The 18,679-nt window shown below is 43.8% G+C and overlaps 1 protein-coding gene and 1 long non-coding RNA gene across 4 annotated transcripts in view, besides 1 other annotated feature; one reads left to right on the forward strand and one right to left on the reverse strand.

The window, feature by feature from the left end:
- LOC107985068 (uncharacterized) overlaps positions 1-7,988 on the forward strand; it is an 11,372-nt gene extending 3,384 nt beyond the window's left edge. For both annotated transcript variants that reach the window (XR_001752854.2, XR_007065725.1), the window contains exon 2: positions 5,108-7,988. This is a non-coding gene — a long non-coding RNA (uncharacterized LOC107985068). The remainder of the gene's footprint in view (positions 1-5,107) is intronic.
- CCL23 (C-C motif chemokine ligand 23) lies at positions 8,146-13,060 on the reverse strand. 2 transcript variants are annotated; one of them, NM_145898.4, is made up of 4 exons: positions 12,910-13,060; positions 9,422-9,481; positions 8,832-8,946; positions 8,146-8,396 (listed from the first exon to the last, which is right to left on the reverse strand). In NM_145898.4, the coding sequence occupies exons 1-4, from the start codon at positions 12,983-12,985 to the stop codon at positions 8,285-8,287; spliced, it is 363 nt and encodes a 120-aa protein (NP_665905.2). In that variant the 5' UTR covers positions 12,986-13,060; the 3' UTR covers positions 8,146-8,284. The 2 variants fall into 2 exon arrangements, with proteins under 2 accessions (NP_665905.2, NP_005055.3); NM_005064.6 differs by having other exon boundaries at positions 8,832-8,997.
- Positions 18,178-18,679: an enhancer, noted in NCBI's record as "H3K27ac hESC enhancer chr17:34350127-34350628 (GRCh37/hg19 assembly coordinates)". NCBI's record gives its function as "activates a minimal SCP1, AML or CMV promoter by ChIP-STARR-seq in primed H9 embryonic stem cells {active_cell/tissue: H9 hESC(primed)}" and the evidence as "EXISTENCE:reporter gene assay evidence [ECO:0000049][PMID:30033119]".

Genomic DNA, 18,679 nt, shown 5'->3' on the forward strand with positions numbered 1-18,679 from the left:
CACGAGAGTAGGTTACAGCCTGTTTACACCTCGATTCAGGTTACAGTTCACTATGTACAGATTAGGCTGAACTTAAAATAAGTGAGAAGGCAGCTTTAGGCTAAAGTTGATTTAACAAGGTCAATTAAAAATTGCTGGAAAATAAGAATCTACATGAGGTTATCATGGGTTAAATATTAAGTAAATGACAATGTTGTGTCATCTGGGCAAATGATAAAAGACAGTTTTTATTTTTGTTTTTTAATTTTTTTCTTGAGCTAGGTCTTGCTCTGTCACCCAGACTGGGATGCAGTGGCTTGATCATAGCTCACTGTAACCTCCAACTCCTGGGCTCAAGTGATCCTCCCACCTCAGCCTCCCAAAGTACTGGGATTACAGATGTGAGCCACCACACCCAGCCAAAACACCGTTTCCTAAACTGTAGTTAAAACTTCAAGATTAGCTCTTTTAGTAGGGAGGATATAAGATGTAATATGAATTTGTGTTTACTTTCTTAAGGGTTATAATAATTTCAAGCTTTTATCACCTTCTCAGGGCATTTTTCTAACACAGTTGTGATTTAGTGTTATAAAAGTTATTTGGTTATTGATCAGTTTTCTCCTGTTGATTTCTTAGACAAATCACACTAAAAGTAAGCATAGAGCTTAAACTTTTTTTTAAATAAAAAATGTTTTGTTGTTTGGAATTGTTTAGAATTCAGTGCTGTCTTTTGAATTTTATGAGACAGTTTTCCAAGGTGTACTAATTATACATATAAATTTATATACTTTAATAGAGATGTATATAAAATTAATATTAACTATATCTTTAAATGTTTTTCTTAATGTTCTTTAAGTTTAGAGGCGAAATCTCTTAGAAATTGTTACTGTAGGTAGCTAGTCATACATAAACAGGGCAGGAGAGGCTCCTCCCAACCAGGAATGTCAGGTGACCATCAGGTGATGGTCAGGAGGTTGTTAACTGTCTCTCTAGAATAATAATTGGTTGCAGCCAGCACCAGGGAAAGGCAATGTGCCTATAGATAGAAAAAACCTGAAAATGGTCATCAGCATCTTCCTGGTAAGATCCCAGGAGTTGGGCGAGTGAGCTCATGCATGCGCGTCAAGAGGCAAAATGGTGGAGTTTAACTCATCTAGGACCTTCTGGGGGCATTCCATCAGTAAAGGGAAGAACACCTCAAGTGAGCATGCGTACAGCTCCAGTAAACACACTGCATATGCTCCCCTCCCAAGTAGGGCATTGTGCTAGTGCTTCCTACCCCAAGGGAAGAATCAGGGGAGAAGGGACCCAAGACCCCAGAAGTATGCCAACATGTAAAACCCTGATTCAAAAGGTCAAACCCCACACCTGACCTCCAAAATGTCTGCTTGGCCTGCTTCCAAACGTACTTTACTTTCTTTTTATTCCTGCTCTAAATCTTCTCTCTCTCTCTCTTTTTTTTGAGATGGAGTCTCACTCTGTCACCCAGGCTGGAGTGTAGTGGCGTGGTCTCAGCTCACTGCAACCTCTGCCTCCTGGGCTCAAGCAATTCTCCTGTCTCAGCCTCCCGAGTAGCTTGGGTTACAGGCACCTGCCACTACACCCAGCTAATTTTTATTAGAGATGGTGTTTCACCATGTTGAACAGGCTGGTCTCAAACTCCTGACTTCAAGTGATTCTCCCACCTAGGCCTCACAAAGTGCTGGGATTACAGGTATGAGCCACCACGCCCGGCCTGTACAGCTTCTTAATAAACTTTCACTCCTGCTCTAACACTTGCCTCAGTCTCTTCTCACTTAGGCCCCTCATTTGAATTCTTTTTCCTGAGGAGGGAAGAATTGAGGTTGCTGCAGACCTGTACAGATTTGCCACCCGTAACTCGAATAACTTCCTCTGCTAACTAAATTTATATCTAATAAAAAACTTAGAAATAGATAAAAGGGTCCAGGCGCAGTGGCTCCCACCTGTAATCCTAGCACTTTGGGAGGCCGAGGCGGGCGGATCACAAGGTCAGGAGTTTGAGACCAGCCTGGCCAACATGGTGAAACCCTGTCTCTACTAAAAATACGAAAATTATCTGGGCATGGCGGCATGCGCCTGTAATCCCAGCTACTAGAGAGGCTGAGGCAGGAGAATTGCTTGAACCCGGGAGGCGGAGGTTGTAGTGAGCTGAGACTGCACCGCTGCACTCCAGCCTGGGTGACAGAGCAAGACTCTGTCTCAAAAAAAAAAAAAAAAAAAAAAACAGGTAAAAGGATGACTGCATGGTTTTCAAGGTCATATTACAATGTTGACTAACAGGCCCAACCCGGCATTCCTTAAATCTGTAGGGGAATGAACTTTTGATTGATTTCTGTTTACCATTGATCAGGCCCTAGATTCTGAGAAAGTACATGTTAAATTTTAAACTTGTGTGTAGCCAGATGCAAATGATTTCTGTCTATTAAAAAAGATAATCCCAGAGGTTACAGGTTTTTTTATTGCCCTATCCACAGGATATTAATGTGTGCTCTAATTTAACAAACTTATTTCAGAACGTCATCCCCAGTAAACTATACAAATCTCTGTTACTCAAATGATCTTTGAATTATTTTAATAGTTCTCTCACTAATGAGTTAAATACATCTTTGATGCATATTCAATCTAAATTGGATGAGTAATATTTTTAGTTTTGTAAAAATTGTATTATGATGTCCCTTGTTTTGAAGATAATGATTATCCAAAGTTCAGTAATTCCTTTAGTTTCTTTTTCCTCTTAAAATTCAAGTAAAGGCTGGGCATGGTGGCTCACACCTGTAATACCAGTACTTTGGGAGGCTGAGGCAGGAGGATCGCTTGAGCCTAAGAGATCAAGACCAGCCTGGGCAACATAATCAGATCCTGTCTCTTCAACAAATAAGAATTAGTGGAGTATGGTGGCATGTACCTGTAGTCCCAGTTGATATGGACGGGAGGCAGAGAAACACTGGGTAGAAGAGGGCAGTTCCCTGGCAAATGCCCCACCCTCAAGCCTGGGAACCCACGCCCCTAAATTGGAACAGGCATTCCTGTTTTTGCACCCAAATGTTGCCTTTTCCAAGACTACTCTGGCCTGCCACGCCCCTATCCTGTGTCCATATGACAGCTAGGCCTCCATGAAGGGAAAGAGAGCCCATATTACTTTTACCCAAAGGAAAGAGAGAGGCGGCAGGATCTTGGAAAAGAGACAGATCCAATAGTTCTGCCTCTTTACCTCTTAAACCCCAAACTCCATGAGCAGAGGAACAGAACGGCAGTGGCAGAGAAGGAGAGACGAGAAGGAGCGTCTGAATGTCAGGAGAAGTTCGGCTGGGGACAGTTGAAGAGGAGATCAGCCGCGGGATGGCTGAACTCCAAGGGAAGATCATCTTCCCACTCCATCCATTCTCCAGCTCCCCATTCATCCCATAAGAGCCACATCCATAACTCATTAAAATCTCCACATTCACCATCGTTCAAGTCTTCTTGAACGATGACCTGATTCTTCCAGGATGTCAGACAAGGACCTGGGTACCAAGAGGGCAGGGTATAAAAGGCTGTCACCCTGACTCTCCACTGAGACGAAGTAGCCGTCTGCAGATAGCAACTGCTAAAAGAGTATTAATTGTAACACACCTTTGGATGCTACCATGGGGCCAGAGCCCAAAAGTGCTTGCCCCAGCTCCTGCACCTTCCCATCTGTGTGTTCCCCCTCCTATAAGGGGTAAAGTGTGTGACAGTGGAGCAAATGAGCCACACCCCTGTCGCAAGTCCCGTGAGGGGGTCAGGGAACTCTCCCATTTCATCTGGGGGCTCGTCTGGGATACAGCACAAGGATGAGTACAGATTTAGAACTGTCGGATCTGCCTCTTTTCCAAGATTCTGCCACCTCTCTTTTTCCTTTGGGTAAAAGGAATATTGGCTCTGTTTCTCTTCATGGAGGTCTAGCTGTTGCACGGGATGGAATAAAGTCCTGGGGCAACAGAAGCCATCTTTTGTTGCTGGAAGGCTCCAAGACTGAACTCTGTAGGCCAAGAACCCCAGACTTTGCTGTGGTATCTTCTTTCATGGCTTGAAATGGCTCCTATCTCTTCTTTTATAGTATTAAGGGCTTTGCTGCAACTACCGAGATGTTACTAAGTACAAGGTATGCTTGGTTCAGCCATCAGATGTGCAATTCACAACAATGTAGTTTCTGTTTCTTCTTAGAGGTGCCATCCCCAGCCGCAGGTGTGCGCAGTGCATGAGTGACTCCCCTCCTTCTCCCTTCCCCTCCTTTTCCCCTCCCCGCCTTCTCCCCTCTCCTCCCAGCTCTGCACATGAGCTGCACCCAGTGGCCACGAGGGGCGGGAGAAAACCTTGGCTGCCGCTGGGGCCCTAGTGCAGCTGGCTGGCCGGTGCCTCCCACTCACTGCACCAGCAGAGCCTCTCCTCCCATGGTTGAGGGGTCCTTACTGGTCTGAACCAGGGGCGGAATACAATAAAGGAACCCATTTGCACAGAGCAAGAAGTTCCTTCCCTCTTTTTTAGTAGTATAAGCGGTTTCCTTTTTCTTTTCTAAGTGAGAGGGTTCCTTTCCCCGGCACGCTGCTTTTAATAGGGAAAATAACAGAGGAGCGACCCCTGCTGGCCAATAGCTGCAAATTCGGCAGGGCCCCTTTGAGACTTGATCTAAACAGATTCATGCAGCCCCTGAAATACCTTTTTTGTCTGAAACTCAATTCCAGCCTTCAGGTTGAGGCCCTAGAAAGGAAAACCAGATCTGAGGGATCCAAAGCCTGGCAACAGGCACAATGTAAATGGGAAGGGCCAATTCCTGCTGACTAAAACCTTGCTTCATGAAAGGAGGCCATGCTCCATGACATAGATGAGGCCCAGGGAACTCAAAGGTTGTTGGCAGCAAGGGAAATAGGGCATAATGTGTAAGAGTGGATACTCTCACCCCCCCAGGCCCCCCTGTTAACATGAGTAAAAGCCGCTTCAGCACCCATGGGTGGCATCTGCCAAGGTCACTGGTACATGGGGACAAAAAGACAGAAAACGGGGATGCCTGCTTTCTCTCCATCAAACCCTGAGTTATCACTAAAAGAAGGGAAGGAAATGAGGGTCACCTCTATTTCTTGTCTTTCAGAATGGGCGATCAGCTGTCTTCACCACCCCCAGCTTATACTCCTCTAGAGTGTATCCTGAACCACTGGGACTGCTTTGACCCTCAGACTCTGGAGGAAAATGGCTCATAGCCCTCTGCACAAAGGTTTGGGCAAATTATGAAGGACTGGCTTGGCCTCAGGAAGAAACCATTCATTTCGATATCATCCAGCAGTTGGAGCTTTTCTGTAAACGTGAGGGCAAATGCTCTGAGGCCCATATGTGCAGGCTTTCTATACCGTGCAGGGCAATCCAGACCTTAGCTGACAATGTAGAATTAATCCAGACCGGTTTGCCATCTCGGGAGAGGCTGCAAGGGGCAATCCCAGGGAACCAAAAAAACAAATCCCAGAGGCATCCCCAGCAGAGGAGCCAGCTCCCTCCAGCCCTGCTCCGCCAGGTCCACCCCATCCCCCCTATCCAGCTTCAGTCTCTCACTTGCCCCCTCCTAGAAATTCTCACCCTAGACAAGCCCCAGTCTCATTCTTTCCCCTCCAACAGATGCCTGGTGAATTTACCCCATAAGGTCCAGGTACTCTTCTCTCTACAGAACTTGAAGCAAATTGAGGGGGATCTTGGCAAGTTTTCAGATGACCCTGAGAGATATATAGAGGCTTTTCAGAACTTAACCCAAGTATTTGAGCTCTCCTAGGAAGACGTCATGTTACTTTGAACCAAACCCTGACTAACACTGAGAAGCAGGCCACTCTGCAAGTGACAGAGAGATCTGGGGATGAGGTTTGTATCATACGTAGCACCCAGGAAAGGGGGTGAATATTATCCAACTGGAAGAGAAGGAGTATCAATGAATGTCCCTAAATGGGATCCCAATGACAAGATGGGAGAATGCAAGAGGAGAGTTTCAGGTGTGCATAATAGAGGGCTTTTGTAGGATTAGAACTAAGCCTCTCTACTATATCAAGATATCCATGAGAGACCAGGGATTTAATGAAAATCCCACTGCCTTCTTGGGGAGGCTAAGAGGGACCTTTGTAAAGCATAGGTCTCTGTGTCCCGATTCCATCATGGGACAACTAATCCTAAATGATAAATGTATTACTCAGGCAGCCCCTGATATCAGAGGGAAGTTGCAGAAATGGGCCCTGGCGTCGGGGAGTACTTTAGGAGACCTCCTGAAAGAGGCCACCTTGGTCTTTTACAGTACAGATAGGGAGACACAAGAAAGAGGCAGAAGCTTTAAGGGTCACCATGCAAACCCACAAACCCCAGAATTCCTAAGGTGCATCTGTTAACTCCTACAGATGTGGCAAGAACAGTTATCTCTCTTCTAAAATTTAACCACACCCATGCAAGTCTTAATTTCTTTCACTAAGGTGAAACAGCTCAGGGTACAATGTTGTTAGTATATTACACTTCCTATTTCGGTAATCTTTGGTGGCAAGAACAGTTATCTCTCTTCTAAAATTTAACCACACCCATACAAGTCTTAATTTCTTTCACCAGGGTGAAACAGCTCAGGGTACAATGTTGTGAGTATGTTACATTTCCTATTTCTGTAATCTTTGGCACTAGATTATTTCTTTGTATAATACACGTTTAACCCATGCATACTTAACACCTTATAAAACTTGTTTTTTTCTCTCAAATTTGAGGTCATGAAAATCCAAATGGTCAGGCAACCGGAGCCTTGGATGATGACTCCCTTTCCCCAGGGATCCTTAGATAGACCTCTGGGAGGAATCTGACTTCTGTTTTCCCCAAAAACAATGTCCTCTGTCAGCAGGAAGTAGCTAAGATAGGTCATTGTCCATATTCTAATGGCAATTAGATGGGCCTCTTAGAGGGTGGAAATGATACAGATACAGGCAAGGAAATACTGGGTAGAAGAGGGCAGTTCCCCAACAAAGGCCCACCCTGAAGCCTGGAAATCCATGGCCCTAAATGGGAGCAAGCATTCCCATTTTCATGCCCAAATGTTGCCTTTTCCAAGACCACTCTGGCCTGCCACACCCCTATCCTGTGCCCATATAAACCCCAAGCTCTACAAGCAGAGGAACAGAAGAGCAGCAGAGTAGCAAAATGGCATGGCAGAGGAGAGAAGAGAAGGAGCATCTGAATGTCAGGAGGAGTTCGGCTGAGGACGGTTGGAAAGCAGATAAGCCGGGGATGGCTGAACTCCAGGGGAAGATCATCTTCCCACTCCATCCCCTTTCCAGCTCCACATCCATTCCTCTGAGAGCCAACTCCATCACTCAGTAAAATCCCCACCTTCACTATCCTTCAGGTTGATGTGACCTGATTCTTCCTAGATGCCAGACAAAGACGGATACCAAGAGAGCAGAATATAAAAGGCTGTCACCCTGACTCTCCACTGAGTGGAATAGCCATCCACGAAAAGCAACTGCTAAAGAGCACTAATTGTAACACACCCCTAGATGCTACCATGGGGATGGAGCCCAAAAGCGCTCGCCCTGGCTCCTGCACCTGCCTGTCTGCATGTTCCCCCTCCCACAGGGGATTTGAACGTGCAGCAGCCTTGCAAATGAGCCACACCCCGTCACAAGTCCTGTGAGGAAGTCAGGGAACTCTCCTCTGTTAGCCCAAGTGGCGCCATCAAGTAAACCCCTGCCATTTTGTACACCCTGATCAGGGAGGAAACTTCCATAGGGGCTCAGGCCATGAAAAGCATTTTGCCAAGCAGATCCCAGGCCACACTGCCTGACTGCAGGAAATGGCTCCCTTATTACATCCTGCCAGGCAGCTAGCCACACTGCCCCACCTCCCCTGTCCAGACCTATAATTGCCCCAGTCTGTACGCAGGACGGGGGCTCCAGCACTCGCTGGTGTTCCCCTTCCACAGGTTTCTCTGTCCAATAAACCTATGTTGCTGTCGAGCTTCCCCACCTTGTATGTCTCTTTTCTCTGTCCTAACACCCTGTTTCACAGCTACTTGTGGGGCTGAGGTAGGTGGGTTACTTGAGCCCAGGAGATTAGGCTGCAGTGAGCCAAGATGTACCAGTGCACTCCAGCCTGGGTGACAGAGACCCTATCACACAAAAAAAGTGAGAAACTGTTTATTAGATGAATTGCTCTAAATCCAGAACACAAGAATAAATGCTTCTTAAAAAAATAATTCAGGAAGGTAGTTGAGGCAAGAAAGTTGGTGGCTGGCAACTTGTGTCCCTTCACCTTGACAAGTTCAATTCTTCCTGGTCTTGATCCGTGTGTCCAGCTTCAGCATTCTCATGCAAACCTGAACTTGCTTATCACTGGGGTTGGCACAGAAACGTCGCCCCTTCTTGGTGAGGAAGCTAGGGAACAAGGGGGAGAAAAGTTACAAACTGAGGTGTGTCCAGCACATGGGGACAGGGGGCCCCATTCTCCCTGCCCCTCAGATTTCCCAGTCAATATAGCCAGTTTTTTTTTCTTTTTTTTTTCATTCTCTGCTGATGGCAGCTCAGGGCCATTGTGCTCTTGAGACCCCCTCAGCCTGTGGGACTCCCTAGTGACTCATGGGAGCATCCTTGGGCAGACTTGTGCCTGCTTTCTTCTTCCTTCCCCACCCTTTTCCCCCTGGGAGTGTCTCATCCCCGATGCCCTGCAGGATCTTCCTAAGGACACAGCTGCCCCATACCTGGCAGGATCCAGAGGGTGGGCCCTGATGGACACCAGTCTATCAGGTCCTCCCTGCAAGATGCTACAGAGTCCTTCTCCCTCAACACATGTTTGGTGAGCTTGGCACCTACATGACACCCGGCTTGGAGCACTCGCTGTTCGTTTCAAAGTAACTCTCCAGGAGTGAACACGGGATGCTTCGTGGGGTGTAGGAGATGCAGCAGTCAGCACTAGTAGCATGGAATCCTGCAGCATGAGAAAGGGTCATCTGAGGACCAATCTTTCTCCTCCAGAGCACTGTGGAGGGTGAGAAGGCACATGGCTCAGAAGAGATGTTTCCTCCTCCGTGACCAGCACTTGCTGGCATCTCCCTGCTTCAGACCCTCATCAGAGTTGAGCTGTGTGTCTGAGGGCACTCAGGGTGGGCCAGAGCAGGACCAGGAAAATTTCCCCTAGAAGGGGAAGGCATCTGCAGACACCTGCAGGCATCAGAGAGCACCTTCTGCCCCAAAGGAGCAGACTCTTGGGGCAGCCAGAGGGGAACAGAGAAGGCATCTATGGAGGGGGTTCCCATAGCCCGTCCTGATCTTCCTTGGAGATGTTCACCACCCTCAGGACCCTCTCATTCTCCTCCCATTCTGTAAACAGGGACAATGGATCCCATAGTGCAGACCTGCACCTGCTGGCTGCTTTTAAATATATGCCGTATCTGATCACTTACTGTCCAGAAGTACTGGATTTTCCAATGGAAGCTTTGACATCATGAACTCTGTCTCTGCATCTGGAAGAAGCAGACAGGACAGGGAAGGAAATCACTGGGCGGCAGCATTGTTTCAGCATCTCCACCCACCCCATTGCTCATCCTCCTCCTGAGGCAGAAAGGTCCCTGAAGCTGGACCACCACCACCTGTCTGGGCTCTAGGCCTGACTCCTGGCCCATTTATTCCTTTAGGGCCCTGAGATTTTTCAGGGACCTTTTGAAAATGTAGACATGAAAACACTGTGTTGACTCTGAAATACTAAAAGAAACCTCAAAATCTAACATGGTTCAGTTAATGGAATGTCTACATGATGTGACACAGTCTACAAGTCTCTCTACACATTTCTGGAATCCACAGGGCTCTGGAAACAGAGAGGTGTTCATCAGCTCATATGGTGGCACAGTATCCCTTTAAGTGAAGTGCAGCTATTATGGTCATTATTTATCCCAGTTAGTAGAAATATTCATGTGTTTGTTACAGGAGGTTGCTGTGTTTGATTAAAATACTGTTCCCAGGCCTCATCAGGGATAAGTACCATCAATATATGTTTAAGTTTTTTACTAAATCATTTTTAAATCGTGGTTATATATATATATATATAACGTAAAATTTGCCATTTGAACTATTTTAAGTATACAGTTCAATAGCATCAAATACACTCAAATAACTATGCAGTTTTCACGGCCGTTCATTCATTTTGTGAAACTGAAACTCTGTATTCATTAAACAACAACTCCTCATGCTTCCTCCCCTTAATCCCTGACAATCACTATCTGTGTCGTGTCTCTGTGGATTTGACTAAGTACCTCATGTGAGTGGAATCATACACTATTTGTCCTTTTGTGACTGGTTTATTTCACTTAGCATAATGTCCTTGATGTTTATCCATGTTGTAGCATGTGTCAGAATCTCCTTACTTAAATTTTTATTTTTTCTTACTTCAACATTCAAGGGAATCTCCTTACTTTTTGAGGCCAAATAGATTCCATTGTATGTATGAACCACACTTTGTTTATCTACTAACCTTTTGATGGGCACTTAGTTTGCTTCTACTTTTTGGCTACCGTCATCAATAATGCTGCTATGAATATGGGTGTATAAAAATCAATTCATGTACCTGCTTTGAATTATTTTGGATATATACCCAGAAATAGAATTGCTGCATCATATCATATTAACTTTTTAAAACCTGAGAAATTCTGCATTCCAAAATTCATCTAGCGCCAAGTGCTTTGGAAATGGGATTGTGGAGCTGCCTTATGCTTGTTAGGCAAATGAAACTAAGCTTTAAACATTTTTCCTTTCTTTTAAATTTTAATCCTTAAAGTTAGTTTATTTCCACAATTGACTGTCTCACAGAATAAAGCTAGCCTTAAAATTTGGCCGGGTGCGGTGGCTCACGCCTGTAATCCCAGCACTTTGGGAGGCCAAGGCGGGCGGATCACTTGAGGTCAGGAGTTTGAGACCAGCCTGGCCAACATGTTGAAATCCCGTCTCTACTAAAAAAAAAAAATACAAAAATTAGCTAGGCATGGTGGCATGTGCCTGTAATCGCAGCTACTAGGGAGGCTGAGGCAGGAGAATCGTTTGAACCCAGGAGGTAGAGGTTGCAGTGAGCCAAGATGGTGCCACTGTACTCCAGCCTGGGCCACAGAATGAGACTCCAACTCAAAATAAAATAAAATATAATAAATATTTACTTTTAATATAATTTAATAACTATTAAATATATTTTAAATATAATGTAATAACTATTAAATAGACTTTTTCTTTTTTTAAAGTTAAATTAAATTAAATTTTATTTGACTTTAAGTTCTGGTATACCTGTGCTGAACGCGCAGGTTCATTACATAGGTATACATGTGCCATGGTGGTTTGCTGTACCTATCAACCCATCATCTAGGGCTGCTGCATGCACCAGGTATTTGTCCTAATGCTCTCCCTCCTTTTACCCTCCACTCCCCGATAGGCCCCAGTGTGTGATGTTCCCCTCCCTGTGTCCATGCATTCTCAGTGTTCAACTCCCACTTACGAGTGAGAACATGTGGTGTTTGGCTTTCTGTTTCTGTGTTAGTTTGCTGAGGATGATGGTTTCCGGCTTTATCCATGTCCCTGCAAAGGACATGAATTCATTTCTTTTTATGGCTGCATAGTATTCCATGGTGTATATGTGCCACATTGTCTTTATCCAGTCTATCATTGATGGGCATTTGGGTTGGTTTCAAGTCTTTGCTATTGTGATTAGTGCTGCAATAAAGATACATGTGCATGTGTCTTTTAATATAATATATGTGTACTTTTCATATATTTAAAAATAAATATACTTTTAATATAATTTAATGACTATATTAAATATCTTTTAATATAATTTAATAAGGATATTAAATATACTTTTAATATAATTTAATGACTATGCATTTAATATAATTTAACAATTATATTAAATATACTATTAATAATTTTAAAGCTGGCTTTAAAGTTGATATTTACTTAACATTTTGAAACATAAAGACTTGGCAATAACGATTCAGCTGCCGAATTAGTCCCCCAATTGCTTTCCAGTGTTTTCAACTTATTTCTTATATGGTTACATTAAATGAATTATATGTAATGAGACATGTGGGTATATTTTAATATGCTCAATATGGTTTGGGTAAGGTAAAAAAAAGATCTTAAATGGCCTTGTCGTTCCATAACTACTTCCTAATTAGCTCATATTTTAATTCCACCGCTTAATAGTTGTGTGATCTACCAAGTTATCTAAGGTTCTGTGCCTCAGTTTTCTCATTTGTAAAATGTCAATAATAATAATATGAAAAACCATATAAAAGTTGATGTTTTGTTTCTTCCCTACAAAAGTAAAAAATTTGCATTTTTTAAAATCTAATACATATCCCACAGGGTTGTTAGGTGGAACTGATGTGTTAATATCTGTAAGACACTTAGAACAGTGCCTGCCCTGTACATAGGAAGTACTAGAAGTGCATTTGTTAAACAAAAAAATACGATGGTTAGGTGACCTTGGTTGAGTCATTTGTGTGGCTTGTTCCATTTCTTCTCCAAAATGATATGATAGATACTACTAGATGGTATGTAACAGTTTTAGCATCATACAATTCTATGCTTCTTTCTACAAATTTGTAATTTTACTACACTTCTTTTAATCTAGCACTTAATAGTCCTATGTCTGCTAAGGGAAGGTATCAAATAATTTTTGCTGTGAAAAGGGAAATGATTGGCCCCACATTGGACCAGCCATATGTGTATATTCCCCTCCCAGGGTCCAAAGCCTGCAGACAGAACCAGGTCTATACTCTGGTGCTGCTTTTAAATGAGTACCATGACCACGTCTGGGATGGAGAGTAGTTACAGGAGGGCAATGTGTCTCTGCCACAGAGCTTGAGTTACCATGAACCTGGTCATCTGAGAGAAAGCTCACTGGACTCACCTTTTGTGACCCGGGCCTGGGATCCAAGGGCAGTAACAAGCATGAGGCAGGAGAGGGCAGCCACGGAGACCTTCATCCTCCTGGTGGGCAGGCAGGGCTGGCCGAGGACTCCTGGGCTCACTGCTTCCTGGCTTCTCGGGATGCCAGTTCTGCCCTTGTATTTATAAGAAGAAGAGGAAGTTACAGGGCAGAGGTCAGAATGCTGTTTTTTGACTTATGATAGTTAACAGGCTCTTTCTAAAAAGGAAACAAGGCTGAGAATGCAATAGGAAGTAGACGACAAAGATGACTTGGACTGTCCTTGTGGACTTCCCGAGTTGTTCCAATAAGTACAGGCAGAGAGAGCAAATACTTTATGATGGATACTTCCCTCTGGGAGATTCATTCATCCTCTAAACAGTGGAGTTTTTTTTCCTCAGGAGCTAACCACCTTCAGATGCTCAAATAGCCTGTACACATGGGGACCACCAGAGAGAACACTTCAACTTGTAGAGCTGTGATCTCTGCTGGTAAACACAGCTCATACGACATCCCGTAATGTACAGCCCATGATGTGTACTCACACAGCATGATTGTCTAGCATAAGCTGAGCTACTCTAGAATATAATGGGGAGAGTGTAGGGCAAGGATGAGCACATGGGAGCTAAAATGTCGCCTTGTTGGGGTAGCCTGCCTTCCTTCTCAGCCCTGCGCTTAGTCTCTGGGAAAGGAATAGTCCTCGTCCAGTGTCTGGAGATATCCTTGACTCCTCTGTTTATCTCATACCCCATATCTAATTCATTAATAAGTATTTTTGGCCCTAATTCCAAAAATATAGCCAGAATCTTATTATTCCTTCAAAAGAAAACTCCCATTTATTCTCTACTACTATTCTCAATGCTTCACTTCTGAGACTACCTGGTGTTAGCATAGACCACACAGGTTAAGGGCTCGGTCCCGTGAGGCTGGCAACACTTCAGATGCCAATCTCAAATAGTGGGTCCCCAGGTTACCCACAACTTCTGTTTGACTTGGCTACACATCAGAATTTCCCAAGACCCCCTCCTCAGATTCCATAATTACTAAAGTAGCTCTCAGAACTCAGAAGAACAGTTTACTTACAGGGTTATATTATAAAGCATACAACTCAGGAACAGCCAGGTCAATGAGATGCATAGGGAAAGGCATGGGGAGTGGGTTTGGAGCTTCTGTGTCCTCTCCAGGTGTACCATCCTCTCAGTGCCTCCACTGAACACTGTTCCAAGTTCACCAACCTGGAAACTCTCTAAACCCCATTCTGTTAGGTTTTTATGGAAGATTTATTACATAAGCATGATTGATTAAATCATTAACCATTAGTAATCAGATCAATCTCCAGCCTCTCTCCCCTCCCTGGAGTTTAGGGGTAGAGGCTGAAATTTCCAATCCTTTCATGGTTGGCTCCCATGGCAACCAGTTCTCATCCCTAAGGCTTTCCAAAAGTCACTTCATTGACATAAACTCAGGTGTGGTAGGAACTACTTGTCCAGACTTCCAGGTTGTACGTGCCTGAGTAATGAGCTGATCCTTCTTATACCTCAGCATCAGAGAATCCCCGGTGCAGGAAAAGTGGGGTGTGCATGATGGACAAGGTGAGGTGCTGTCAGATTATACCGTCTTGAGCTGGGCAGAGCCTGGGTGCAACTGGCTGCTGTAGTGGTGGCTAGAGTCAGAGATAAAGCTGATAGAATGGAAGTGGTGTACAGAGGAGCCTGACACAGTATTAGATGCATATTTTTTTAGTGAAAGAATATAAGGAATAGATTTCACAATATTCACCAATCAGTATGTTGATTACACAACATATTGTCATTTCTTGACAGGGATTGCTTTCAGCTTTTGCTCATTCAGTATGATTTTGGCTGTGGGTTTGTCATAAACAGCTCTTATTATTTTGAGATATGTTCCATCAATGCTAGTTTATTGAGTGTTTTTAGCATGAAGTGTTGTTGAATTTTATCGAAGACCTTTTCTGCATCTATTGAGATAATCATGTGGTTTTTGTCATTGGTTCTGTTTATGTGATGGATTACATTTATTGACTTGCATATGTTGAATCAGCCTTGCATCCCAGGGATGAAGCCATGGATAAGCTTTTTAATGTGCTGCTGGATTTGGTTTGCCAGTATTTTATTGAGGATTTTTGCAATGATGTTCATCAGGGATATTGGCCAGAAATTTCCTTTGTTGTTGTTGTTGTTTTGTCTTTGCCAGGTTTTGGTATCAGGATGATGCTGGCCTCATAAAATGAGTTAGGGAGGAGTCCCTCTTTTTCTGTTGATTGGAATAATTTCAGAAGGAATGGTACCAGCTCCTCTTTGTACCTCTGGTAGAATTCGGCTGTGAATCCATCTGGTCCTGTGCTTTTTTTGGTTGGTAGGCTATCAATTACTGCCTCAATTTCAGAACTCGTTATTGGTCTATTCAGGGATTCAACTTCTTCCTGGTTTAGTCTTGGGAGGGTGTATGTGTCTAGGAATTTATCCATTTCTTCTAGATTTTCTGGTTTATTTGCATAGAGGTGTTTATCGTATTCTCTGATGGCAGTTTGTATTTCTGTGGGATCAGTGGTGATATCCCCTTTATCATTTTTTATTGTGTCTATTTGATTCTTCTCTCTTTTCTTTTTTATTAGTCTGGCTAGCAGTCTATCTATTTTGTTAATCTTTTCAAAAAACCAGCACCTGGATTCATTGATTTTTTGCAGGGTTTTTTGTGTCTCTATCTCCTTCAGTTCTGCTCTGATCTTAGTTATTTCTTGTCTTCTGTTAGCTTTCGAATTTGTTTGCTCTTGCTTCTCTAGTTCTTTTAATTGTGATGTTAGGGTGTCAATTTTGGATCTTTCCCACTTTCTAATGTGGACATTTAGTGCTATAAATTTCCCTCTAAACACTACTTTTGCCGTGTCCCAGAGATTCTGGTACGTTGTGTCTTTGTTCCCATTGGTTTCAAAGAACTTATTTATTTCTGCCTTAACTTTGTTGTTTACCCAGTAGTCATTCAGGAGCAGGTTGTTCAGTTTCCATGTAGTTGTGCAGTTTTGAGTGAGTTTCTTAATCCTGAGTTCTAATTTGATTGCACTGTGGTCTGAGAGACTGTTATGATTTCTGTTCTTTTGCACTTGCTGAGGAGTGTTTTACTTCCAATTATGTGTTCTATTTTAGAATAAGTGCTATGTGGTGCTGAGAAGAATGTATATTCTGTCAGGGTGGAGAGTTCTGTAGATATTTATTAGGTCCGCTTGGCCCAGAGCTGAGTTCAAGTCCTTAATATCCTTATTAATTTTCTGTCAAGTTGATCTGTCTAATATTGACAGTGAGGTGTTTAAGTCTTCCACTATTATTGTGTGGGAGTCTATGTCTCTTTGTAGGTCTCTAAGAACTTGCTTTATAAATCTGGGTGCTCCTGTTTTGGGTGCATATATATTTAGGATAGTTAGCTCTTCTTGTTGCAGTGATCCCTTTACCATTATGTAATGTCTTTCTTTGTCATTTTTTATCTTTGTTGGTTTAAAGTCTATTTATCAGAGACTAGGATTGCAACCCCTGCTTTTCTTTGCTTTCTATTTGCTTGGTAAGTATCCCTCCATCCCTTTATTTTGAGCCTATGTGTGTCTTTGCACGTGAGATGGATCTCCTGAATACAGCACACTGATGGGTCTTGACTCTTTTATCCAATTTGCCAGTCTGTGTCTTTTAATTGGGGCATTTAGCCTGTTTACATTTAAGGCTAATATTGTTATGTGTGAATTTGATTCTGTCATTATGTTGTTAGCTGGTTATTTTGCCCATTCATTGATGCAGTTTCTTCATAGTGTCAATCATCTTTACATTTTGGTATGTTTCTGCAGTGACTGGTACAGGTTTTTCCTTTCCATATTTAGTGCTTCCTTCGGGACCTCTTGTAAGGCAGGCTCTCTTGTCTGTAAAGGATTTTATTTCTCCTTCACTTATGAAGCTTAGTTTGGCTGGATATGAAATTCTGGGTTGAAAATTCTTTTCTTTAAGAATGTTGAATTGGCCCCCACTCTCTTCTGGCTTGTAGGGTTTCTTCAGAGAGATCCACTGTTAGTCTGATGGGCTTCCCTTTGTGGGTAACCAGACCTTTCTCTCTGGCTTCCCTTAACATTTTTTTCTTCCATTTCAACCTTGGAGAATCTGATGATTTTGTGTCTTGGGGTTGCTCTTCTCGAGGAGTATCTTTGTGGTGTTCTCTGTATTTCCTGAATTTGAATGTTGGCCTGTCTTGCTAGGTTGGGGAAGTTCTCCTGGCTTCCTGAAGTGTATTTTCCAACTTGGTTCCATTCTCCCCGTCACTTTCAGGTACACAAATCAAATGTAGGTTTGGTCTTTTCACATAGTCCCATATTTCTTGGAGGCTTTGTTCATTCCTTTTCATTCTTTTTTCTCTAATCTTGTCTTCATGCTTTATTTCATTAAGGTGATCTTCAGTCTCTGATATCCTTTCTTCTGCTTGATCAATTCGGCTATTGATACTTGTGTATGCTTCACGAAGTTCTCGTGCTGTGTTTTTCAGCTCTATCAGATCATTTATGCTCTTCTCTAAACTGGCTATTCTAGTTAGCAGTTCCTGTAACCTTTTATCAAGGTTCTTAGCTTCCTTGCATTGGGTTACAACATGCTCCTTTAGCTTGGAGGAGTTTGTTAGTACCCACCTTCTGAAGCCTACTTCTGTCGATTCATCAAACTCATTCTCCATCCAGTTTTGTTCCCTTGCTGGCGAGGAGTTGTGATCCTTTGGAGGAGAAGAGGCATTCTGGTTTTTGGAATTTTCAGCCTTTTTGCAAAGGTTTTCCTTCATTTTCGTGGATTTATCTACCTTTGGTCTTTGACGTTGGTGACCTTCAGATGGGGTTTTTGTGTGGGCATCTTTTTTGTTGATGTTGATGCTATTGCTTTCTGTTTGTTAGTTTTCCTTCTAACAGTCAGGCCATTCTTCTGCAGGTCTGCTGGAGTTTGCTTTAGGTCCCCTCCAGACTCTGTTTGCCTGGGTATCACTGATGGAGGCTGCAGAACAGCAAAGATTGCTGCCTGCTCCCTCCTCTGAAAGCTTCATCCAAGAGGGGTACCCGCCAGATGCCAGCCGGAGCTCTCCTGTATGAGGTGTCTGTTGACCCCTGCTAGGAGGTGTCTTCCAGTCAGGAGGCATGGGGGCAGGGACCCACTTGAGGAGGCAGTCTGTCCCTTAGCAGAGCTTGAGTGCTGTGCTGGGAGATCTGCTGCTCTCTTCAGAGCTGGCAGGCAGGAATGTTTAAGTTTGCTGAAGCTGCGCCCACAGCCACCCCTTCCCCCAGGTGCTCTGTCCTAGGGAGATGGGACTTTTATCTGTAAGTCCCTGACTGTGGCTGCTGCCTTTTTTTCAGAAACGCCCTGCCCAGAGAGGAGGAATCTAGAGAGGCAGTCTGACTGCAGCGGCTTTGCCGCACTGAGGTGGGTTCTGCATCCAGTTCGAACTTCCAGGTGGCTTTGTTTACACTGTGAGGGGAAACTGCCTACTCAAGCCTCAGTAATGGTGGGCACCCCTCCCCCCATCAAGCTTGCATGTCCCAGGTAGACTTCAGACTGCTGTGCTGGCAGCGAGAATTTCAAGCCAGTGGATCTTAGCTTGTTGGGCTCAGTGGGTGTGGGATTTGCTGAGCAAGACCACTTGGCTCTTTGGCTTCAGCCTCCTTTCTAGGGGAGCGAACTGTTCTGTCTTGCTGGTGTTCCAGGTGCCACTGGGGTACAAAAAG

This window comes from Homo sapiens, chromosome 17, assembly GCF_000001405.40.
Source record: "Homo sapiens chromosome 17, GRCh38.p14 Primary Assembly".
Lineage (NCBI taxonomy): Eukaryota > Metazoa > Chordata > Mammalia > Primates > Hominidae > Homo > Homo sapiens.